The sequence below is a fragment of the Homo sapiens genome, chromosome 12, assembly GCF_000001405.40.
Source record: "Homo sapiens chromosome 12, GRCh38.p14 Primary Assembly".
In the NCBI taxonomy this organism is placed as follows: domain Eukaryota; kingdom Metazoa; phylum Chordata; class Mammalia; order Primates; family Hominidae; genus Homo; species Homo sapiens.
The window spans coordinates 20,094,396-20,119,244 of NC_000012.12; the positions used below are offsets into that span (position 1 = coordinate 20,094,396).

A 24,849-nucleotide genomic window follows, 5' to 3' on the forward strand; every position below is an offset into this window, starting at 1 on the left:
ATGATTAACATTACTAAAATATTACCCTGACTTCTAGCATAGAGTGGATAAGAAGAAACAAGGCTACAAATGGGAACAGGACATGTTACATAATTTGTGAGTTCTAGTGCAAAATGAAAATGTGGTCCCCTTGATCAAAAATTATTAAAAATTCAAGACAACAACAGCAGAGCATTAAACAAAACTCAGGGCTCTTTTAAGTGCAGGGCCGGGGTGACTGCACAGGTCTCATGCCCATGGGGTTGTTCTGAATAGGTAGCTCAGTTAAGAGGCTCATAGAGAAATCTAGAAAAGAGATGTTAGTGACTTAGGCTATCTTGTTGGCAATGAAAATGAAGAGAAGTGCGTGGATTTAAGACACATTTTAGTGAAAGAATAGACAGATTTTTTAAATTCATGAAATGGTGACATGTCCTGAGAAAAGGAAGAGTCAGTGATGACGTTCCATGTTTCTGTGGCCTGGCTTTGGGTGTTTATGCACTGGGAGAAGTAGGCACCTTTGCCAATCTTTACAGACTGGCTTTGGAAGAAAGAGCCCTTCATCTGTCAGCTCATCTAGAGATTCGAGGTAGGTTAGCTGGCAGGGACCACGAGCAAGCTTGCTTTTGGAGTTCTTGGGCAGGCTGGCCCAGTGTCTGGGTCAGTGGGCAGGTGGGCCTGGAGCTTGTATCCACAGGGGCTGGCTCGGTGTTGGGATTTTCTGGGTCTGGTCCTGGGGTTGGTGGTGAAGTTGGGTACTCATTTCACTCTCTTTTCCCCATGAGAAGGGTATGTCTCTCTGAGCTGCACTACATGGGCTTGGAGGAGGGGGTGACATGGGTAAAGTGAAATTGTGTCCTCTGCTATCTTCAGTGTTTCTTTTCTTATTGCTGTGTTCAATTGAGGTGATATAATCTCTCACCTGGAATCCTTAGCTCTCATGAAGGTACAGCCTGCATGGATGCTTATTCAAACTGATGCTTCCGTTAGGGGATGAGCACCAAAAACTCCTATGCTGCCATCTGATTGAGGTCATTTTCTTTAGAATCTTCTTTGTATGTAGAAGCGGTGGTGAAGGGCTGAAGAATTTCCCACTGGCCATTCTTACTTTCTCTATTGACATATAAGGCGAAGTCTTCAGCTGAAAGGATAACCAAGGATACCTTAGGATGAAGTTTGAGGAGACAAAACAGGTGTGAAATAATCATCTTGGGATAGAAAACCAAGCCTATAAGAAAAACACAACAGATTGCTCTTGTTATTGAACAGTCAACTTGTTATTGAATTTGACTTTTTAAAAGAAAATGCACTTAAAATAAAAGCACTCTTACTGCAGCAGTATTCACAATAGCAAAGATATGGAATCAACCTAAGCATCCATCTTTGGATGACTGGATAAAGAAAATGTGGTGTGTGTGCGTGTGTGTGTGTGTATAATGAAATACAATTGAGCTGTAATAAAGAATGAAATCATGTCTTTTGCAGCAACATGGACAAACTGAAGGCCAGTATCTTAAGTGAAAAACTCAGAAACAGAAAGTCAAATACTGCATGTTCTCACTTATAAGTGGGAGCTAAATAGTGTGTATACATGGACAACAGAGTGGAGTAATAGACACTGGAGACTCAGAAGGGTGGGAGAGTGGGAGAGGGTGAGGGATAAGAAATTACTTAATGGCTACAATGTCCATTATTCAAGTAATGGTTATAATAAAAGCCCAGACTTCACCACTACAAAATAAGTTTACATAACAAAACTGCATTTGCACTCCTTAACATTATTACAAATACAAAAGAAGAAAAAAAATAAAGTAAAATAAAAAGTCAGTTTGGTCATGTAATTTTTCTGTGCAATATTCACTGGCAAGGAGAACATAAATGGTTTAATCCATACTGGATTAGAGTTTTAGTAAGCTGGTACGTAAGGGAAAAGTGGCAAAAGGGAGTTAAAAATAATTGTGAAAGAGAATTCATAAAGAAGGACCACATCATCTAAGACAGAGAAGGAGGAAATGGAAGCGTGGAGGGGGGCTGAAGGTAACTGCAGAAAATGGTAGATTGGCTCATTGACATCGAAGGGTGAGGCATCTAAGATATATGGGTGGAAAGCTAAATGGTAGCGGTGAGAGAAGGGAGCATCTGCGATCAAAGTTTTAGGGATGGGCATTTTTGCGTAAACAAGTGAAGAATGAGCTCTTTGAAGTAAGTGGCCAAATGGACCAGAAGGGAACTATTGGAGTGAGAAGGTCAAGAAACTGAGAAGCCAGACTGCTGAGTGAGTCATCTGTATTGATGTTGGAGTCATTGTGCATGATGAGAGATAACCGGAAGTTAACATCTTCAATAAATGAGGGGAGATAAATGGGAGACTGGTAGATAACAGCCAGGATGAAGGAGTTGGGTATTTTTTCCAGTTGGCGTGAAACTAGAAGAAGCAGGGGATTTACAGATGAAATAATGGTGTGGAGACAGCAATGGTGTTTGCAAAGATGCCTATGGTGGTTGCAAGGATGCCTTTAGTACTTCTGAGGAAAACAACCTTCATGTGAGAGGGCCACAGGGAGGCTGAGCCCATAGACGAGATCCAGAATTCAACAAAGGCAAGGGGCTTCAAGGACTTTCAGGGGAGAGGTTCGGGATATAGGTTTGTTTGCTGAGCAAACTGTGGGAATTCAAGGGGGCACAGTGTGATGGTAATGAGGGTAACTGACATGGTGGCTAACGCAGGACATTCAGCTTTTGTGACCGCCTCTTGCATTCTTTCCTTGATGGTATATTGGTGGTGAGTGTGGTGATGAGCATAGTAAAGAGTGTGTCTCCCCATATTAATATTGGCTCTCTTCCCAATTAGATTCCAATAAAGCAGCTAATGATCCTAAAGCAGAGGGGACACTCTATTTAGAAGGTTTGATTATTCCCAGAATCCTGGATAAGTGCTTATCTAGGGCAACACTGGACCTCCCATAGTAACAGAGGCTTTTATCTTCCTTTCTCAGTGCTTCGGTGGCTAGTGTCTCCTAGACTTCTGAGGAGCACTTGGTTCAACCAAAGTGTATTTTCAAATCTATTCCTAAAACAACTTTGAAGACTCCAAGTTATGACTTTATAATCTGATAGAAACAAAACAAATTTGATTATTTTCTGAGTTAGAGTACACCTTTGAACCTGTACATTATCTCACAGAAAGAAGGTAAATCTGTACTAACCCAAAGCAAAATTAAATATGCAGATAAAATGCTGGTGAAATGCTATTTTGCATAGATCTAAATAGTGTAATTTGCCAGTTTTGTGAGTCAGGCAGATGCAGTTCATTTTGAAGCAGCCTTTGGGTCTTTTCACATGATTTGGCTATTCTTAGATTTCTGAGTCATTCTGTCCTCCATGCTAGTCATTTTTCAATCCCATATCCTCTATTCATGAGGGAGATACAGATACAACATTAACGTATCCAAATTTGGCTATGTAGCTTAATACTCCGAGCAAACAGGCTATATATTCATTTCTATTCTTAGCAATACCTTGGGACAAGTTGAATGTAAATAAAATATTTGGGCAATACACTGTAACACTGTAGATTTTTGGTAAGTGATGCCAGGAAACCTTGGCATGCACATTATTGAATAATTGTTTTGATTCTATTTGACTATCCTCTTAACAACTAAAATCCCAAAGCAATAGGAATACTTACAAAAGGAACAGAAATGTGGATAACATGGGATGAGCCAAAAGACTCTGCCAATGTTTTAGCCAACAGAAACAGCATCTCTTAAAGACTAATGCAGGCAGTACATTGATACCCATAATAATAAATTCACAGGAAATGAAATTTCCTTTAACAAACAGAGGATAGTAATAAAATCTTTATCCAAGGTATCATTAGGAAAGAAAGCTCAGAAGCATAGGTACAAACAGGATTGTCAGGGCACTGAGGAGTGTAATTGGGTTGGTGAATTCAGCAGAGAAGAATGGGGAGAATCCACCAGATGAGTTAAGGATCCTGATGTTTCACTGGAGAGGAGCCTCTCTGATCCTCACCTGATGAAATCAAGTGTTCACCAAACTGATGCTCCTTGAGGATACAGGTTGTGCCTTCCTTGTCTTTGTGACCCTATTGCCCATCAGAATGCCTGGCATATAGTGGACATTCAAGGAATACCTGTTGAACTGAAAGAAACTTCAGTGGGAGGGTAAAGCAGATCTGACACTTACCCTTCCACTCAGAAAAGCCAGCATATCATTGAAAGCACCTCGTTCCCTCCAGCCAGCCTTCAGCCCTGCACCTCACATCAACCACTCTGAAAATTACAGTGGAGACAAAGAATTGAGCCTGTCCAATTTTTCACTTCTTCCTTCATTTTATTTTTCTTTTTCTATCAGGAAACTTCAGGCTACCATACCTGCTTCAACTGTAGGAGAATCTTAGTTCTGGAGAGTTGACCCTCCAGGCGAAGCATTAGGCTTTGATACAATTTGTCTGGTACCGGCTGTAGATCTGGTTTGGGCCCCAGACTATCTTCCCTGTCCTCAAGAATCAAAACCAACTTGGAATGACTCCTGGCCCACTCAGCACCTTTCCGGTAAAGTGAAACAAGTAGATATTGAAGACCGACATGTAGCACCTGTCTGCAGTTTTTGCTGCTTTGTACTCAATGTGTAGTACTATTAAGAAGTTTCGTATTACGATCTTCATACTTTTATGAATGTTTGAGATAATTTTCATTTGTACTTAATGTAATTATTTTTTCCAGGAAGCCAGAAGAATGAAGTGCCACACATATCATCAGAGAGAATTCCAAGGAAGAGGGAATGGTCTATAGTGTCTCAAGCCACAGTGAGTTTGAAATAAATTTACAAGAGTATCCCCTGGAGCTAGTGATGTCGCCAGTGGCATCCTTAGCAAGAGCAAGCTCTTTGTGCTGCTGGGAACAGAAGCCAATGTTCTGGGGGTCGTGAAATAGAGACTGAAGTTCAGGCTATATTTTCAAGGAGCTTGATTAAAAAGAGAAGGAGACAGCGGGATTGAACCTACAGTAGGAACTTAAGTAATGAAAGATTTTTTTAGATGAGACAGACTGAAACATATTTAAAAGCTGTAAGAAAAGATTCGGTTTCTGCTAACTCCATGTGTGGATAAAGAGTAAAGCGGGGCCATGGACAGGCCAGGCCCTGAGGTGAGCCCAAGACCCAGAAAACAGTCAGCAGAGTGAGGGTGAGACTGGCCTCTGGGCTGCAGAACAAAGGAAAAAGTCCTCCAAGAGGGGAGAGAACTAAAAGGCAGGTGGAGTTTTCAACTGTCATGTATCTAAGGGAGACCCTCAATTGGAGACGATGGAAACAAAAACAAACAAGAGTAAATAAAGCTGTCATGAAAAGCCTTAAAGTGAACCCTAGGAGGTAGATCCTGAAGTTGCTTATGCATTGAGAACGTAGTCACCACTTTTCCTATAGAGCTTCTGTTGCCCACAGAGAAGAAACAATTAAGGGTGCCAGTCTGCCTGGGTAAACAAGAGATGTTGAAGGTATTGGAGAAAGAGTTTGTAACAGATAGAATAAGATCCCTGAGGTCATGGGGGTGGGTTCGCATCCTGACCACAGGTTTGTAATTAACTTCATTAACATCATACATACTATACACAGGATTCTGAGCCAAGAAAGAGAGTAACTTAAAGGCATTTTGTGTATGCATATTTACATATCTGGGTGGAAATTTAGTTTGCTTTAAGAGTCTGAGGGGAAAATACATATATGCATTAAAAAGTTTGCATATTGTATTTTAAAAAAATCCCCAAAAGTCTTAAGCCTTCCAGAAACTATGGTCAAATGGACTTAATATAATATTTGTATTTAAATGACCTTGAATAGTTTTTAAGTGGTTATTATTCTTTTCAACTGAAAAGACACTTTTTAACCTGGCTTTCTCTGTAGCAGTCTCTCAAAGCACTGCTCTTAATTTCAGTTTAATGAAACTCTCTACACTTACGGGTTTGTGTTTTCTTTGGATTTCAGTTAATCCTTCAAGAACAGTGTTAACTTTCTCAGGCTACTGGAACTCCACTTTTTGGAACTGTTATATTTACTGTTGGGGAGTGACTTTGGCACCAAGGAGAACTTGGCTCAGTAGGTATTTTCAACAAAATTACTAATATTGTAAATTTTATATTTATGAATCATATTTTATTATTCCATTGTGTTTCTCTGAGAAGTCCTGATGCATTGTTATGCCTGTTTAGAATCACTGGTTCCATCAAATCCAGCATTATTTGAAATCAAAATCTTTTATAATGATGCAACCATTTGGCTTGATGAAATTAAATACCTGGACTCAAAAAGAAAATAAACCGAGTGGAGAGAACAAAAGCAACAAAGAAATAAAAATTGTACTAAGGGTATTTTCTTTCCTTTTCCTTTTCTTCTTTTTGGATAAAAAGTAGTAAAAAGCAGGAAGTTTTTCTTAAAAACTGTCTTTTAATGGACCTTTTGTTATGGGATGCTCATTTACCTACATTATTACATTTTTGGAAGTAGTTATTTACTAAGTGAAATTAAGAAGCTAAAATATTTAATCAGACTTTGAAATTATTTACTAAGTGAAGTTAATAAGCTAAAATATTTAATCAGACTTTGAAATTAGCTTTTCGAAATCATAAAGTTTTTTTTTTTCAAAATTTATATCAGGACCTTCTAAGAGTCTCCCATATTTGCCAATGTCATTCTGCTTGCTATCTCTCTAGAATAAGACAGCAGAGTTTGCTCACTTTGTAAACATCTGTTATGAGATTCTTTGGGGTGTTACTTCACCAGCTGGAAACCTCTGTAGCTGGCGGGGCCTTCTGCCTGAGTATTGCTGGGTCTCGCTGGGCTCCTTCCGCCCACTCTGCCTGGCAGGCTGCACTCAGCTTGCACTACTGGCCTGAATTCCACACCTGCCAAGGGTGAGCCAGGCATGGAGTGGCAAGGGGTATGTGGGTGAGTGAGCACGGGTCTGGCCACTGCACACAGCCAGGCATGCTGGCTCCTGCGGAGGGGTGGGCAGCTCCAGGTGCCAGCACAGGTGCTGGATCACTGATAGGCTGCAGCTGGACCAGATGTACCACATGTGGCTCCCACTGTGGGCACCTGCATCTGGACAAGGGGAACACAATGTTGCCTGGAAGCTTGGAGACATCAGGAACTGCAGAGCCCCAAGAGGGTGCCACAGCCCTGGCTCCGGGAGCCCTTAGGTCTGGGCTCCCCAGAGGGCTGCAGCTCTTGTCTCCTTCTCATCAACTGCAAATTGATGAGCTGGGGGGCATGTTTAAGCCCTGTTTGTGTTACAGCTCTTTCAGTCCTGCCCATTTAGTGGGTCCCAAGTTCTTGTCCCGCACCCAGGAAGGATGAGGTACGTGGACAACTGGAGGGTGAGCAAGGCGGAGAGGAGCTTCATTGTGCACAGGACAGTTCACGGGAGACCTGAAGTGGGTAGCTCCTTTCAGCAGGCAGGTTGTCCCAACAAGTACCCAACTCTCAGCAATCAGTGGAGAAGAGACTGCAGTGGGTAGCTGTTTTCTGCAGGCAGATCATCCCAACAGTCAACGAGACCCAAAATGGGTAGCTCGTTTTTGCAGCTGGTAGTCCTGAAAGCTCTCTGAGTTTGGCTGAGTCTGGGATTTTTTTAATGGGCTCAGAAGGGAGGAAGTACATGTCGACTGGTCCACGGATGGCCATGGGTGGCTGGAAAAAAGCACCATAAGTTCTCACTATGGGCTGCAACCTCCACCTGGAGCTGGCAGCCCAGCCCCCAGGCTTCAGGCCATCCCTGGCTTGAGGGTGGGGTTTCACCAGGAACCCACCCCTTTCTCCCCAGGAGTCTGTGTGCCTCCTGTTGTCCACCATGCCCAGGCTGTTCATACAGAGGGGCACCTGCAGGCCTGTGCCAAGCTGCCCTCAGCCCCCAGCTTGGCCTCCCTCCCATGCTAGGTTAGTGCCCAAAGTCTGGAGGGGGCCAAGGCAGCAGGAGGCTGGTGTGTCAGTCCCACCCCAAGTGTGTGCACAGCCAGCAGGGTTGCAACAGTGCTCAGGCTCAGCCACGACTTCATTCTGTCCTGGAGCGGGTGCAAGGAGTGGGGAAAGGCCAGGGAGCAGGAGCAGGTACCTCCAAGCCTGCCTAGGAAAGAGGGCTTCCTTGCCCCTAAGAATGCAGGGATGCCTGGGTCGAGAGCCACAGCTGAGCAGCTGCAATTGTGCCTGGGAGTGTGGGGCTCCCGCTCTGCCAATTGGGTAGGGGGCTGGGTTCCACCTATTCCCAGCCCTGCCAGCTCCACAGGGCATGCAGCCCCAGCCATGCCTCCCCCTGCTGTAGTCGGCATCTTTGCAGAGACCACTCTGGATGGGACACCGCTGCCATCACTTTGACCTACATATGTATGGAAAACATGTTATGTATTCATTTTATATTATTTCCAAAAATATTTTTATTATTTTGTCTTAAAGTTTCAATAGGATCTGAAAAGAGATAGCTAAGAATTTGGATTTTTGGGCCAGGAGCGGTGGCTCACGCCTGTAATCCCAGCACTTTGGGAGGCCAAGGCAGGTGGATCACAAGGTCAGGAGATCGAGACAATCCTGGCTAACACGGTGAAACCCCATCCCTACTAAAAAAAAAAATACAAAAAACAATTAGCCGGGCATGGTGGTGGGCACCTGTAGTCCCAGCTGCTCGGGAGGCTGAGGCAGGAGAATGGCATGAACCCAGGAGGTGGAGCTTGCAGTGAGCCGAGATCACGCCACTGCACTCCAGCCTGGGCGACAGAGCAAGACTCCGTCTCAAAAAAAAAAAAAAAAAAAAAGAATTTGGATTTTTGAAAAAATGCTGCTTGTTAGATAAATCTGAGCTCTTGCCATTTCCTAATCACATTGATGATTTAGAAAATTAGTAGAGAATCTATAGACGGGGTCACACTCCTGTCACCCAGGCTGGAGTGCAGTGGTATGATCATGGCTAACTGCAGCCTTGAGTTGCTGAGCTCAGGTGATTCTCCTGCCTGAGCCTCCCGTGTAGCTGTGACTTGAAGATGTGCCACCATACCTGGCTAGTTTTTTATATTTTTAGTAGAGATGGGGTTTTTCCATGTTGCCAGACTGGTCTCAAACTCCTGGGTTCAAGTGTTCTGCCTGCCCTGGCCTCCCAAAGTGCTGGGATTACAAGTGTGAGCTACCGCACCCAGCCATATTTTTATTCATTCATATAATGAATGGCATCTCATTTATGTTTCATGCCAGACCAATGTTCCAGGGTCTTGCACTGATTCCCACATACATTGTGTCAATGACTGGCATAATAACACTGTCTTATAGTAATAATAATAGAATCTATTTATGAGGATATTTTAGAAAATCAGTGAGCTATAAAATCTACTTGATTGGAGCAGATTGTAAACCACAGCTATTGTTTTGTTGGGTTAATCAAAGCATCAAAAATTATAGATTAAGGACTTCTCTATTTTCTGTCAAAAGGGAACTAAGAATATGTTCTCATGGGTATGAAGTGAACAATAATTCTCTCTCTTTCTCTCCCATATTCACTTTTCTATTTGTCTCTGAGTAGAAAATTATCCAGTAGACACTAATGGTCTACATGGCTGTTTAGAGAATTTTTTTTTTTTTTTGAGATGGAGTCTCACTTTGTCACCCAGGCTGGAGTGCAGTGGCGCGATGTCGGCCCACTGCAACCTCCACCTCCTGGGTTCAAGCAATTCTCCTGCCTCAGCCTCCCAGGTAGCTGGGATTACAGGCGCCTGCCACCACGCCCAGCTAATTTTTGTATTTTTAGTAGAGGCAGGATTTCACCATGTTGGCCAGGCTGGTATTGAACTCCTGGCCTCAGGTGATCTGCCCGTCCCAGCCTCCCAAAGTGCTTGGATTGCAGGTGTGAACCACTGTGCCCAGCCTTAGAGAAAAATTTATGCCAACTGAGTACAAAATGATCGGAGGTAACACCATCATCCAGAGAAGAGTAAAACCAACATGTGAAGGGCATGAATTCTATCTGGATGGATTTATTGGCTCAACCAATACATTACAATTACATATTTGGCATTTACCATGCATTCAGTGTGGGAGCACTTATAAGATAACTTACTGACCATATACTTGCAACTTATTTGGATAGATGAATGTGGTAAGATGTCTTAGTCTGTTTTGTGTTGCTTATAACAGAGTACCTGAAACATGGGGTAATTTATAAAGAAAAGGAATTTATTTCTTACAGTTAAAAAGACTGAGAAGTCCAGGGTCTAAGGGCTGCATTTGGTGAGTGCCGTCTTGTTGGTAAGGACTCTGCAGTCTTGAGGTGGTGCAGGGCATCACATGGTGAAGGAGCTGAGTGTGCCAGCTCAGGTGCCTCCTCCTCTTCTTACAGAGCCACCAGTCCCACTCCTGTGAAAACCCATCCATTGACCCATTTATCCATTAATCTATGAATGGATTAATCCATCCCTCATGACCCAGTCACCTCCTAAAGGCCCACCTCTCAATACTGCCAGGCTGGGGATTAAGCTTCAACATAAATTTCAGAGGAGACAACCATTGAAACCATAGTGTAGGATAATGTGCAAACAACCAATGTATTTCCCATTCTCTATTCACTCTCATTCGTATACTTTAGACTTGTGACCGGACTGCATTTTGGCCAGCCAGAGGTTTTTCAAAGGGAATCTGTCATGAATAGCTTTAAGACAGGAAAAAATTAGGAAAAGAGGTGACTGGGCAGAAGCAGCCACCCACTCCACCACCGTATAAGCTAATCTTGTTAAGCTGTAGAGGGAAGGAGGGAGTTAGACAACCATAATCTTAGAAAACATAGAAAAAGGGAATATTACAGCATTTCTTATTAAATGTAGGAATGTAAGTCTGAGAGTAGAGAGACTAAATGGCTCTTTTCACTGGAATGCCAGAAAGTGTAGTCTTACAGATGTGTCCTGGCCATAGACGTGACAATAGGCAATGAAAAGAGCTGTTTAGAAACTATAAGTGGCAGAGAGGGCTAAAAATAGCCCTAAATTTCTTTTCATCCCAAGAGAGCAGCTAAATTTTCTCAGTACTTTAGTAAAAGGCATAGAAGTTTGCTCAGCAAGAAATCCTACTTCCCAGAAAGGCCTTACACAGGTGACGTGGGTTATAGAATTATATTCTGTCAGTCATCTATTGCTGCGTTACATTCCTGCCCTCCAAAACCTAATGGCTTCAAACAACAACCATGTATGTGCCCATGATTCTGAAATTTTGCCTTGGGTAAGCCAGGCTGTTTTCCGCAGGCCTCACCTGGGCTTGCTCAGGTAGTAGCAGTCATCGGTGGCTTGACTGGGGCCGGGCAGGGAGGCTGCATCGAAGGTAGCATCCCTCTCATGTCTGGGGTGTTGGTGTTGGCTATTGCCTTTGTAATCAATGATCTGTGAAATCTCTTATCCTTCAAAAGTTGGATCCAGGCTTCCTTAAACAACAAGGGTAATTTCCAAGCATGTAAAGAAAAAGCTGCAAGACTTATTGAGAATTAGGCTCTAGAACTCATACAACACTTTTTAATCACGTTCTGTTAGTCAAAACAAGTCAGAAGGTAAGCCTATTTTCAAGGAATAGGTAAATAGATTCCACTACTTAATGACAGGAGTTGCAATGTTTTTGTGGCCATATTTAATATATCACAGTCCTCTCTCTGGCTACCATTATTTACATTCTTCCCAAGCAACACATGCTGATCTCTCTTACCAAAGTCTCATCTCTTGAAGTGTTTAGACTTGTGCAATGCATTACCATGGCTATGTGCCACATGTGGCTACTGAGCACTTGAAATATGGCAGGTATGAATTGAGTTGTGCTGTTATTGGAAATACACACAGGATTTCAAAGACTTAGTAGGAAGATTGTAAAATATCTTTTAAATACCTTTTTATATTGATTATGTGTTTACATCATAATTTGGACATATTGGGTTACATAAAATATATTTTAAAAATTATTTTCACCTGTTTTTAAGTTTGCTTACTTTTTTATGTACCTGCAGCAAAAAATCACATAAGTGGCTTGTATTATATTTCTATTGCATAGCAGAGATTTAGACCAATGGTTGGTGAACTTTTTTTGTAATGGACCAAATAAATATTTTTGGCCTTGTGGGCCACACAATTTCAGTTGCACCTATTCAACTCTCATTGTCATACAAAGCAGCCATAGATAATATATAAACAAATGAGCATGGCTGTGTTCCAATAAAACTTTATTTACAAAAATGGGTGGCAGACTGGATTTGGCCTGTAAGGCAGTATTTTGTTTCACTTGTCTGACATCTTTAACATTTAATGTAATTATTAATATGGTTGGATTTCAGTGTACCATTTTGGGGAGCGGGAACGGGCTTGTTTTTTCTGTTTTTTGTTTCTTCTTTTTCTGCCTTCTATTGGATTGACAGTTTTTGTTTTAATATTTCATTTTAATTTATCTGTTGTCTTTTTGGTTACATCTCTGTATTTTTAAAGTGGAATTATGAGGATTATCATATACATACTTAAACTTTTATAAATATCTAGGCCTAAATACACGTCTTTGATCTTTTTGTGTTAATCCATAGATCCTTTAGGCTATAGATATTTTAAAAAACATTTTTTCTCTCAGTTCTTCATATGGATACTTTTTATTGACATATCTCCAAATTCACAGAATCTTTTCTTTGTCACTTCATTCTACTTTCAAGACCATTAATTGACATTTTTATTTCAGGCATTGTATTTTTTTAGTCCTTAAGTTTTCACTTCTCTTTTTTATAGTGTATATATCTCTATTGTGATTTTCTATTTTTCATTTATTTTTTGTTTTCCTTTTTGTATGGATGTAGTTATTACAGCTGCCTTTCCGTTAAGAATGGGACTTTGGGGCTGGGTGTGTTGGCTCATGCCTATAATCTCAGCACTTTGGGAGGCCGAGGCGGGCTAATCACAAGGTCAGGAGTTTGAGACTAGTCTGGGCAACATAGTGAAACCCCGTCTCTACTAAAAATACAAAAAAATTAGCCAGGTGTGGTGGTGTGCGCCTGTAATCCCAGCTACTCGGGAGGCTGAGGCAGGAGAATCACATGAACCCGGGAGGCGGAGGTTGCAGTGAGCCGAGATCGCGCCATTGCACTCTAGCCGAAGTGACAGTGCGAGACTGTCTCAGAAAAAGAAAAAAAGAATAGGTCTTTGTCAGGTAATTTGGATTTTATGCAGCACATTGTAAATGTTATGAGTGTAGACTCTGGCTTCTGTGAGATTCCATTGGAGGATGTTGTTTTTGCTTTAGCAGGTAATCAACCTAATTAGTTGCATATTATGAGCTTTGACTCATTTTCTGTGCATGGTGCCTTACATCTCTGTTCAGTTTTCTAAGCCTTTGCTATCCTGATTTCTGTCTGTCCTGTGCATGTGTGGTTCAGAACCTAGGACAAGACTCTTGTGAGTTCATAAACAGAATTAGGAGAAACTTTTTATGGCTCTGTCTCTTTTACTCTCCTGCCTGCTAGAGCTTTTTTTCATGACTAATCTGGAAAAAGAGAAGGTGGGGTTTTGAGTTTTAGATGTCTGCATTGTACTACTGTCCAACGGGGGTCCACTCTTGGAGCAGAAATGGAAGAAAAAAAGTGAAACTTACTCCTGTGTGTGGATTACTTCTTCAAGTTTTGTTTTGTTTTGTTTTTCTTTTGAGACAGAGTCTCGCTCTGTCGCCCAGGCTGGAACACAATGGTGCGATCTCGGCTCACTGCAACCTCCGCCTCCCAGGTTCAAGCAATTCTCCTGCCTCAGCCTCCTGAGTAGCTGGGATTACAGGCACACGCCACCAAGCCCGGCTAATTTTTGTATTTTTAGTAGAGGCGGGGTTTCACCATGTTGGTCAGGCTGGTCTCAAACTCCTGACCTCATGATCTGCCCACCTTGGCCACTTCTTCAAGTTTTAACTCCCTTCCCCTTTATGTTTCAGAGAGCCTCAGACAGTTCCTCCTGCCCACGCAGAGTTTTCAGTTATAATCAGCAGAAAACGGGCTGTAGGAAACTTACACTGCCTCTTGAAGCCAACATCAACTTTGATTATTGTTTGATTTTTTTCATGATTCATCAACCTTCATGTATTTTCATTTATATATGTCTTTAGCTAAAAAGAATTGTTCATATCTACTCTGAAAAAATTGTCATTTCACTGTAGCGTTGTTTACATTTAATGTAATTATTTATTTATACATTTAGATTTAAATCTACCATCTTATTTTCTACTTTCTGCTCATCTCCACTGTTCTTACTATTTCATTTCCCTTCTCGCTCAGAAGTTACTTATTCATTTTCTACTTATTTGGCATTACACTTGAAATTATAAGTGCTATATTGAACTATCAATTCACTTTTTTATTTTTTTAGACGGAGTCTTGCTCTGTCACCCAGGCTGGAGTGCAGTGGCACGATCTCGGCTCACTGCAAGCTCCGCCTCCCGGGTTCACGCCTTTCTCCTGTCTCAGCCTCCCGAGTAGCTGGGACTACAGGCGCCCGCCACTACGCCCGGCTAATTTTTTGTATTTTTAGTGGAGATGGGGTTTCACCATGTTAGCCAGGATGGTCTCAATCTCCTGACCTCATGATCCGCCCACCTCGGCCTCCCAAAGTGCTAGGATTACAGGTGTGAGCCACCACACCTGGCCAGCCCTTTGATATTCTTGAGAAAAATTTTGTCTATAGTCCTATGATTATCATTCCTCCTCAGGTTTACATGTAGCATAATTTTACTATCCTTTTACATCATCTTCAGGTTAAGAATTCCATTTATAACTTGAAAATTTATGATAAAATTTAGTGTTAGGGAAATATCACAGTGACATTGGTATCCAAGTTCACAGAATTATTTTAATTAGAGAGCTTCACAAACAACTTTATTATGCACATCTGTTTGTAAGATTTCTTTCTAAGAATTGTTTAAAATATTGAACAATCTAGAATTTATGCAAAAAACTGAGACACTGGGATGTAAACTTTCACATATCACAGGTTCTTTAGGAAGGCAATGCGTAGGTATTTCTAATAAACTCATATATTAAAGTAAGTTTCTAAATTCAGAATTTTAGGCATTCTTATTAGCTTTTCATGAACATTTTAGATCAATGCATTGGCACAGTTTTAGATATTTGAATGAATTCTCTTTCCCTTTTTGTGTTAAATCTATTTCTTTCATTCTAAAGGAGCTGAACTGTAAGATTTTATCCCATTTTTAAAAAAACTTTAATTTAAATTCTATCATAGTAGCAACAGATCAAGTAAATTGAATTTTGAGAAGAGTTTTCACTATCTGCTTCTAATGGGCAAAATACTGCAATGCTACCTGGACAAAGCGAAACACCAGAAAGCTACTTACCATAATAACAAGCGAGGATTAAGATAGGAGCTTCGACTTGCCACTGCTTTTGAATAACACATATGGTGCATTCAAAAGGCACTGTCTCTTTTAGCAATTCTTTAGCACAAGACTGCCTTGCATAGAAGTGGATTGTAAATGTTACGTGATTCCCAATATAGCATCAAGCTACAGTCCTGGAAAAGCTTCTATTTATATCTTTTAGAAACAGCTTTTATCAGGAAATGGTTTCCCTTCCTCGTTTGCCTTCTTATAATCTTCATGAAAATATATTTTCTTCTGTGACACAGAGAAGGCCTAGAGCTTGCTTGTTAAATGAAACGTATGATAGAATGATTAGATACATATACTGTAATTAGGAAATTTTAAAAAAAAGGTAGAATGACTGCCAGCTGCTACAGAACCCCAAACTGAGAGATCTGAACTGAGATACCGCATTCATTTAAAACAAATCTTATTCTGTAGTGGACTCATGAGAGCATTCAGTCCCACGTTTCTCTTGCTTGGGCTTGGTGAACTCCTTTAACTTTTTCCTTACTGTTCATTCCCTTAAACAAAGCTCAAGTCAACTACTGAGTTCTGAGGATAACTTTGTACCAAAACAGTCATGTCTTAATTCAATCAGGCAAGAAGAAAAAAAAAATCACTTTTATGACACTTGGTTGGCCCTGTTGGATTTTAAATAGAATAAAAACCATAACTCAAATTCTGCTGGTTCCTGATCATTATAATTTTACAAGAAATGTAAGCACAATATATTTAAAATAAAAACTTGCATCAGTGTTTTTTTCTGACCCATTTTCCCTTTACTGATCTGGATTTCTCTTTCTTTTAGAATGAATGGTTTTGGATCACACATCTTCATGATTTGGGAATGATATGTGTGTTTATTTTATGAAAAATGTTAGTAATGAAGCATTTAAAATATATCAAAAGGTAAGAGTTGAAAACAGAATGGAAATATCCTTTTAGAATTTAACATTGAATCAGCATAATTAAAAACTAAGCAAGGGGAAAGATACAAGGGAATAAAGAGTTAAACTCTGACCCGTTTGGATCAACTGTGCACAGAGTGGAGACTTCCAGAGAAGAATGTTTGTCTTATGTATAAAAAACAGTTGGGAAGAGGGGGTGAGCAGGAGAAGCCACGAGGGAAGGAGGGCTACGTGATATATGCACCAGTGAAATTTTAGCATGTAGAAAGTGCATAACCATTCTTAATCACGTAAAATAAACACTTGGTACTCAGGCCAAGACAAACCCTTTTAGCTTTAGAGAGAGTAGGTCAGCATGGCACTTTTGTTTTTTCTTCATCTTTCTGCTTTAGTAGTCTCATTGGAATTATAAGCCAGAATATTCAACATATATTAAGGCTTTCCATGTCCCAGCCAAGCTTTAATGTATCAGTTCTTTAACTCTTCATAACAAACCTATGAGGCCAAAACGATTTTGGAGGTGATGAAACTGAAGCATATGAGAGGTGAGGGTCTTTTCCCAAGATGACATGGCTACAAGTGGTATCCTAGCTCTAGAGTCTGTTTCTTCACCACTTATGTCAGACTCCAGGCAGTGTACCCTACTTAGCCTCAGTGACTGCAAGATCATGTGGGTCATTCTTGCTACATCTTTCAGAATTGCCTAGAATCCTTAGGACTTAAGATTTAGAGAACCCTTCAGCCTTAGTGAACAAAACCTTACTTGCCTTTGTGTCTTGTGACTTAAAAACATAATTGAATACTTCGTTCGTATTCTATTATAAGGAATTTCATGGTCTTCTATATCATGTCTTACACCAGAGGAATAGTATTCCCCTCATGGGAATCCTATTTCCATACCTTCCTTTATCCTAAGAAAAGGACGAGAAGGTAGACCAGCCTACAGCTAAACTTAATAGATAAATATCTTCTGCCTTCAGGTGTAGAGTGCATTTCTGATATCACTATTCTCTCAGTAAAGATATACTCATAGGAGACACTAGTGGTGATCTTAAATATTCTCAGAAATCTACAATACCACACAAATACACACACACGGAGGGAAGCACTAGGTAGTAAGAAAAGAAAAATCAGATAATCTTTAGAAGATAATTGAAAGCAAAGGGGAGTCAATGCACTTGAATTCTCAGTATTGACTTTCTTAAAAAGCTGTTGGACAAAAATGGGGAATAACTGTCATGAGAGAGTGGTATGAATTGTATCAAGTAGATTTGGTGGCAGAAGCTCAACTGTTGTGTAGATGAGTCAAAAAAGAGGTAAAAATGGAGTTGCTAGTGCGCTTAAGAAAAAACTGATTATGAGGGAAAACTGTTAGCTTTTGGTATAATATTTGTTGCCAAGATTATAGTTAGATACTTTCAACAGCCCAACTCTATCAACAAGTCAAGTATTGCATCAGGAAAACGGGCCAAGTTATGATAAAGGCACTGTGGGCTTACCTTCTACACAGATAATGAAATGAGAATACAACAGGGAGACATTAGAACCAACAATATATTTTTTTTCAGAATATATGTTACCATTAGAAGAAAGGGACTATAGCGAGTCCCATGAAGGGGTCAGGGAAAAATCCTGCATCATAAGTATCTGTGCCTTTACTCACATTGCTCTCTCTACCTGGAGTGTCCTCCCTCCTTTGTCTACCTGCAAAACAACACTAATTTTTCAAGTCTATCTTCTTGTGACACTTCCTTTATGAAGCCTTCCTATTTTTCTCTTGGACATTCTCTTCCTTGTACCTCATGATTGCCTATAAATACTTCTGTTGAAATGTTACCGCTTGCTGATTCCTTACTAAAGATCAGGCAGAATGCAAAATACTTTTCACAGACATACAATCCTACGATAACCCAACAGTTTACTCCAGATTACAGATGGAGAATCTGAGCATCTCACAGACATGATGTAACTTCTCCAAAGTCTGGCAGTTAGAAATTTAAGGCCTGGGACCGAATCTACATATATCTCCCTCCAACATTTATGTGGTTTTAAAACCACCTAAATCGTTCTATATACAGGTTTTTTTTTTTTAAATAAACATAGAAATTGACCATATTTAAACATGGAAATAATTCTGGTCTTAATGCTTGAAATTTACATTTGTTTTATCTGAGTTCCTTCCTCAGGAAAGGACTACTAGATCTCTCAAAACGTATCAAAGAACTGAAACTCACCAGGTCCTCACATCCAGACCATGAGAGGCCAAGCTCCTCACTCATCATGATTGCTTCCTGCCTAGTTCCTGTTTTCCCACAAAGAGTTACATTTCTTCCCTACTACATAAACCCCCAATTTTATTTGGTCAGGGAATGGAGACTGATCTTTCATCTCCTCAGCTGCAGCACCCAATTAAACCCTTCTTCCCTAGCAACACTCATTGCCTCAGTGATTCGCTTTCTGTGTAGTGAGCAGCAGGACCTAGGCCAAACCCCTGGTGTTTCAATAACAGCTTTCTAATGCCAAATTGCTCTATTTCTTTCCTATATCTTATACTGTGAGAAACTGAGAACCAAAATGCCACCTATACATTCCTATAATGTCTAGAAATTTTAAAATGGGTGTTCAAAAACTATTTTTTTGCATGAATGAGTGTTTGGAGGAGTACTGCTATTCCAGGTAGGTACTGTAGGAGCTGGAATTCCATATAACTGCAATGGGGCAACGTATGGTCAGATCAACTGTTTTAAGAATGTATTGAGGAAACATGACAAAATCAGATTCAATTATAGAATCTCAAGAAAAAAGAAAAGAGTATAATGGCATACATTGTAGCACATCTTTTTAAGGACAGGGCTATCTGAAATATAAAAAGTTTACCATAAACAGTCTAAAGAATCTGAAAATATTGGATGAAATCTCTAAGAAAAAACACCAACTGATATGGTTTGGATCTGTCTTCACCCAAATTCCATGTTGAAATGTAATCCCCAATACTGAAGGTGGGGCCTGGTAGGAGGTGATTGGATCTTGGGGGTGGTTTCCAATGGTTTAGCACCATCCGTCTCATGGTATAGCTTTCATGAGATCTGGTTGTTCAAAAGTGTGTGGCATCTCCCCACCTCTCTCTTCCTTCTGCTCTGACCATGTAAGACATGCCTGCTTCTCCTTCACCTTCTGTCATGATTGAAAGTTTCCTAAGGCCTCCCTAAGTGTCATGCTTCCTGTACAGCCTACGGAACCGTGAGCCAATTAAGCCTCTTTTCGTTATAAATTACCTAGTCTCAGGTATTTCTTTATAGCAGTGTGAGAACAGACTAATACATCAACTATAGTAATAGAGTGGCAAAAATGCATTATGCTGATAAACGTTCAAATTAAGTCACATCTTTATTTAAATTATCATATAAACACTACTTTTAAATATCAATTTACTATGTCAACATTTAAATGCCTACTCTATGACAGTTGCAACTAAGATTAAGTCTCCTACGTGACAGTCTGTATTAGTCAGGGTTCTCTAGAGGGACAGAACTAATAGTGTGTCCGGAATTTGTGGGTTCTTGGTCTCACTGACTTCAAGAATGAAGCTGCGGACCCTTGCAGTGAGTGTTACAGCTCTTAAGGTGGCGCGTCTGGAGTCTGTCCCTTCTGATGTTCAGATGTGTTCGGAGTTTCTTCCTTCTGGTGGGTTCGTGGTCTCGCTGGCTCAGGAGTGAAGCTGCAGACCTTCCTGGTGAGTGTTACAGCTCTTAAGGCAGCGCGTCTGGAGTTGTTCGTTCCTTCCGGTGGGCTCGTGGTCTCGCTGGGCTCAGGAGTAAAGCTGCAGATCTTCGTGGTGAGTGTTACAGCTCATAAAAGCAGCATGGACCCAAAGAGTGAGCAGTAGCAAGATTTATTGCAAAGAGCAAAAGAACAAAGCTTCCACAGTGTGGAAGGGGACCCGAGCAGGTTGCCAATGCTGGCTCGGGCAGCCTGCTTTTATTCTCTTATCTGGCCCCACCCACATCCTGCTGATTGGTAGAGCCGAGTGGCCTGTTTTGTCAGGGTGCTGATTGGTGAGTTTACAATCCCTGAGCTAGATACAAAGGTTCTCCACATCCCCATCAGATTAGTTAGATACAGAGTTTCAACACACAGGTTCTCCAAGGCCTCACCAGAGCAGCTAGATACAGAGTGTCGATTGGTGCATTCACAAACCTTGAGCTAAACACAGGGTGCTGATTGGTGTGTTTACAAACCTTGAGCTAGATACAGAGTGCCGATTGGTGTATTTACAATCCCTGAGCTAGACATAAAGGTTCTCCAAGGCCCCACCAGAGCAGCTAGATACAGAGTGTTGATTGGTGCACTCACAAACCTTGAGCTAAACACAGGGTGCTGATTGGTGTATTTACAATCCCTGAGCTACATATAAAGACTCTCCATGTCCCCACCAGACTCAGGAGCCCAGCTGGCTTCACCTAGTGGATCCCGCACCGGGGCTGCAGGTGGAGCTGCCTGCCAGTCCTGCGCCGTGCGCTCACATTCCTCAGCCCTTGGGTGGTCCATGGGATTGGGTGCCGTGGAGCAGGGGACGGTGCTCGTCGGGGAGGCTCGGGTTGCACAGGAACCCACGGAGGCAGGGGAAGGCTCAGTCATGGCTGGCTGCAGTCCCGAGCCCTGCCCCATGGGAAGGCAGCTAAGGCCTGGCGAGAAATCGAGCGCAGCGCCGGTGGGCTGGCACTGCTGGGGGACCCAGTACACCCTCCGCAGCCACTGGCCCGGGTGCTAAGCCCCTCACTGCCCAGGGCCCGCAGGGCTGGCCGGCCGCTCCGAGTGCGGGGCCCGCCAAGCCCACGCCCACCCAGAACTCCAGCTGGCCCACAAGCACTGCGCACAGCCCCAGTTCCTGCTCGCGCCTCTCCCTCCACACCTCCCTGCAAGCTGAGGGAGCCGGCTCTGGCCTTGGCCAGCCCAGAAAGGGGCTCCCACAGTGCAGCGGCGGGCCGAAGGGCTCTCAAGTGCCGCCAAACTGGGAACCCAGGCAGAGGAGGCGCCGAGAGTGAGCGAGGGCTGTGAGGACTGCCAGCACGCTGTCACCTCTCAATCCCCCCTCTAAACAGGACACCCCAACTGCTGTTGGGAATTTGGCTGATGACCACTCTAGCTACTTCCTGCTGGATAGGGGCGAAGAAGGGGCCCTGCAGTTGTGGTGTCCTTTAGAGGGGAACTCTTTAGGCCAGGTGAAGTGCCAGTGGGTCGGTCCAGGGGTCCTCGGTAGAAGTTGTTAGTTGAACTCATTTGGGGTTCCATTTGTAAGACCATCTGTAGTTTGATGGCCTTGATTCTAGAGGAAACAAATTTGACAAGAAGGTTAAAAATACAGGGCCCAAAGGCGAGTAACAGCAAGATGGGTGCCACAGGACCTAGAAAGGGGAGAAGCCATGTTGCCCAACTCCAGAGGTTGGTATAAGAATTTGAAAGGCGTTGTCTGATTCCAGAAGCTTTTTCCTGTAAACACCAGGTGGCATCTCATATTATCCCTGACTGGTTAGTGTAAAAACAACACTTTTCCCCGAAGAAGGTGCAGAGTCCTCCTTTCTCAGCAGTGAGGAGGTCTAGGCCTCAGCGGTTTTGGAGAGTCACTGCTGCCAAAGAGTCTATTTGGGATTGTAAAGTAAGGATAGATCTCATTATTTCTTGCAAACTGTTTGAGAGGCCGATATGGGTTGAAGATCCACATAAGTAGAATATGCCTTGACTGGGTAGATAGACATTTACCCTGGCTTTTAAAGGAATGGGGTACACTGTTTTTTCTTTACTACTTCCATCTCTCTCTTTCTCTCTTGGACTTCTTCTTTGTCTTTTCCTCTCTTCTTAACTTTTTCTTTGACTTTCTGTGTCCGTCCCTCTTTCTCTCTGACTCCTTTTCTTTGTCTCTGTTTCTGACTCCCTCTTTGACTTTCTGTCTCTTTGTCTCTTCCTCTCTCTGTCTCTTTCTCTGACTTTCTCTTTCTCTCTCTTCTTCTTGCTGGTCTTTCCCTACCTCTGCCAGCCGCTTATGCTGCTGTTCTCCCCTCTCCTTCCCATTTTGATGGCTTTGTCAGTGTAAGAATAGGATAGGTATTTATAAAGGGAAATTTATTAAGGAGTATTGACTCTCATGATCACAAGATGAGGTCCCACAATAGGCTGTCTGCAAGCTGAGAAGCAAGGAAGCCAGTCCAAGTCCTAAAATCTCAAAAGTAGGGAAGCCAACAGTGCAGCCTTCAGTTTATGGTCGAAGGTCGGAGAGTCCCAAAGCTGAAGAACTTGGATTCTGATGTTCAAGGGCAGGAAGCATCCAGCACAGGAGAAAGATGTAGCCCGGAAGACTAAGCCAGTCCAGTCTTTCCACATTCCTCTGCCTGCTATCATCGTACCTGCGCTAGATGGTGCCCACCCAGATTAAGGGTGAATCTGCAACTCCCAGTTTTCAAATGTTAATCTCCTTTGGTGACTTGCTCACAGACACACCCATGAACAATACTTTGCTGTTGTAATCCGATCAAGTTGACACTCAATATTAGCCATCACAAATGCAAATATAATTCTGCTTTCTAAATGACAATACCTACAATATAAATGATTACATATATGATTGTATCTACTAGATGAGTTATATATATGACCATTACAAAGTTAAGTGATAGATTTCTTGCCACTAAAGAAACTAAAGTTTTGTAATAGATGTCAAACATACAAAGTAACAGAGGATGTAGGCTAGAGTTGCGTGTTGCACCATTCTGAATCTGTATAGAATAGAAGAATGAGATTATCCTGATTTAAACCAATTATTTGGGGTGACATTAATGTTGGTCAGTCGTTCACATTGTCACAATATCTCCATAAGAGAAACTAACAGAGGGCATCACCAAGGAGACACCATTTGACATGATGAAATTGGGGAAAGCAAAATACATTAGGATAATTTAAGTAGCTGAACAAAGTTGTAGAAACAAGAAAACCCTTGACATGTTCATGGAAGACTGAGTGGTTAACCATAACTGGAGAATAAGGTACAGGTGTGGAATGCCAGGAAGAGCTAGAAGGGCTTGGATCACAGGGAACAATATGTCACATGCTAAATGAAATTGAAATTTATCTTGTGAGGTGTCACTCAAGAATTGTGTGTGTGTGTGTGTGTGTGTGTGTGTGTGTGTGTACATGAAGTTAGTTTTTCCTTTTAGAAAGTTTGTCTATGTTAAGGAAGATTTATGATGGGAGGATTGGTAAGGGTTAGTTGATTTGAGCCTATGTTGCCTCATTTCAGTTATGTGGAATTCTAGCTCCTGAAGTACCTACCTGGAATAGTGGAATTGCTCTACACACTCATCCATTAATAAAATAGTTTTTGAACACCTGTTATTTAATTTCCAGACATTATAGGAATGTATAGAAGATTGATGATGGAGGGGAAGAGGAGAACTTCAATTGGGGAAAAGCATGAAGACTTTATCTAACATGGTGGAAGAAGAAATGGAAATAAAGGGTCAGGCACCAGGAATGTCAAAAAAGTAAACTCAGCTCTTCTGAGGGCCTAATTATAAATGTCCTCTGAGGGAGAGAGAGCAGTCTCAGATGGTGTCTTAGTCAGTTCAGGCTGCTTTAACAGTGTACCATGGACTAGGTACCTTATAAACAACAAAATTCATTTGTTACAGTTCTGGAGATTGAAGTCTAAGATCAGAGTGCCAGCGTGGTTGGCTTCTGGCGAGGGTTGCAGACTGCCCTATTCTCATTGTATCCTCACATGGTGGAGAGAGTGAGAGAGCTTTCTGGGGTCCCTTATATATGGACACCTATCCCACCCATAAAGGTCCGCCCTCATGACCTCATTACTTTCCAAATAGCACTGTATGAAGGATTAAATTCCAACATGAGTTTTGAGAGTCACAAACATCCATTCCATTAGAGATGACTTTTGGTTTTCTGACTTGAGTGACTTAGTAGATTAGGTTGCTCGTCACTTATATAGAAATATAAGAAAAGCAGTAGGATATGGGGGAGGCAGGGACAGTGTGTTGATGGAATTCTGTCTCATGTGGAACGTGCAAGCTTTTCAGTTATACAGATCTTAATCCATTTCTAGGTTGTTGTTGGCTGTGTCACCTTGGGAAAGTTGTTGAACACATTGAGTCAAATTGAGAGAGACATCAATTCAGCATTTTAAGGAATAGATACAGTTATCAAGTTACCTAATGGAACATTGAATAATTAGAGAAGAATTGAGGTTAATAAGATTCTTTTATTGAGCCCTTAACACTTGTTTGTATATGTCCACAGTCTAATTTCATAAGCATTCTCTGTAGACTAATATTTAGAGAAATTCAATTCCAGAGTGTCAATCCTAGAAAACCTTAATTAATTAGCTATTTGGAACATTATAAAATCACTACTGTCTACATTAATATTAGTAGATTGGTATAATATAAACATGTCTATATTAATCTGCATAATCTGCAGAGGCATACTAAACTGATGAATTATGGTTTAAAAATATTTTTTGTTATAATGC

At 41.6% G+C, this 24,849-nt stretch overlaps 2 long non-coding RNA genes across 3 annotated transcripts in view, besides 2 other annotated features; one reads left to right on the plus strand and one right to left on the minus strand.

Moving 5' to 3' along the window:
• LINC02398 (long intergenic non-protein coding RNA 2398) overlaps nucleotides 1-4,473 on the plus strand; it is an 84,184-nt gene extending 79,711 nt beyond the window's left edge. Inside the window, exon 3 of the long non-coding RNA NR_040098.1 lies at nucleotides 4,357-4,473. This is a non-coding gene — a long non-coding RNA (long intergenic non-protein coding RNA 2398). The remainder of the gene's footprint in view (nucleotides 1-4,356) is intronic.
• LOC105369685 (uncharacterized) lies at nucleotides 838-15,521 on the minus strand. Of its 2 annotated transcripts, XR_001749038.3 has the most exons (4): nucleotides 15,379-15,521; nucleotides 11,278-11,446; nucleotides 10,224-10,392; nucleotides 838-1,120 (listed from the first exon to the last, which is right to left on the minus strand). It is a non-coding gene; the product is annotated as an uncharacterized LOC105369685 (long non-coding RNA). The 2 variants fall into 2 exon arrangements; XR_931416.3 differs by lacking the exon at nucleotides 838-1,120 and having other exon boundaries at nucleotides 10,192-10,392.
• Nucleotides 20,406-20,907: an enhancer, noted in NCBI's record as "H3K4me1 hESC enhancer chr12:20267735-20268236 (GRCh37/hg19 assembly coordinates)". NCBI's record gives its function as "activates a minimal SCP1, AML or CMV promoter by ChIP-STARR-seq in naive H9 embryonic stem cells {active_cell/tissue: H9 hESC(naive)}" and the evidence as "EXISTENCE:reporter gene assay evidence [ECO:0000049][PMID:30033119]".
• Nucleotides 20,908-21,407: an enhancer, noted in NCBI's record as "H3K4me1 hESC enhancer chr12:20268237-20268736 (GRCh37/hg19 assembly coordinates)". NCBI's record gives its function as "activates a minimal SCP1, AML or CMV promoter by ChIP-STARR-seq in naive H9 embryonic stem cells {active_cell/tissue: H9 hESC(naive)}" and the evidence as "EXISTENCE:reporter gene assay evidence [ECO:0000049][PMID:30033119]".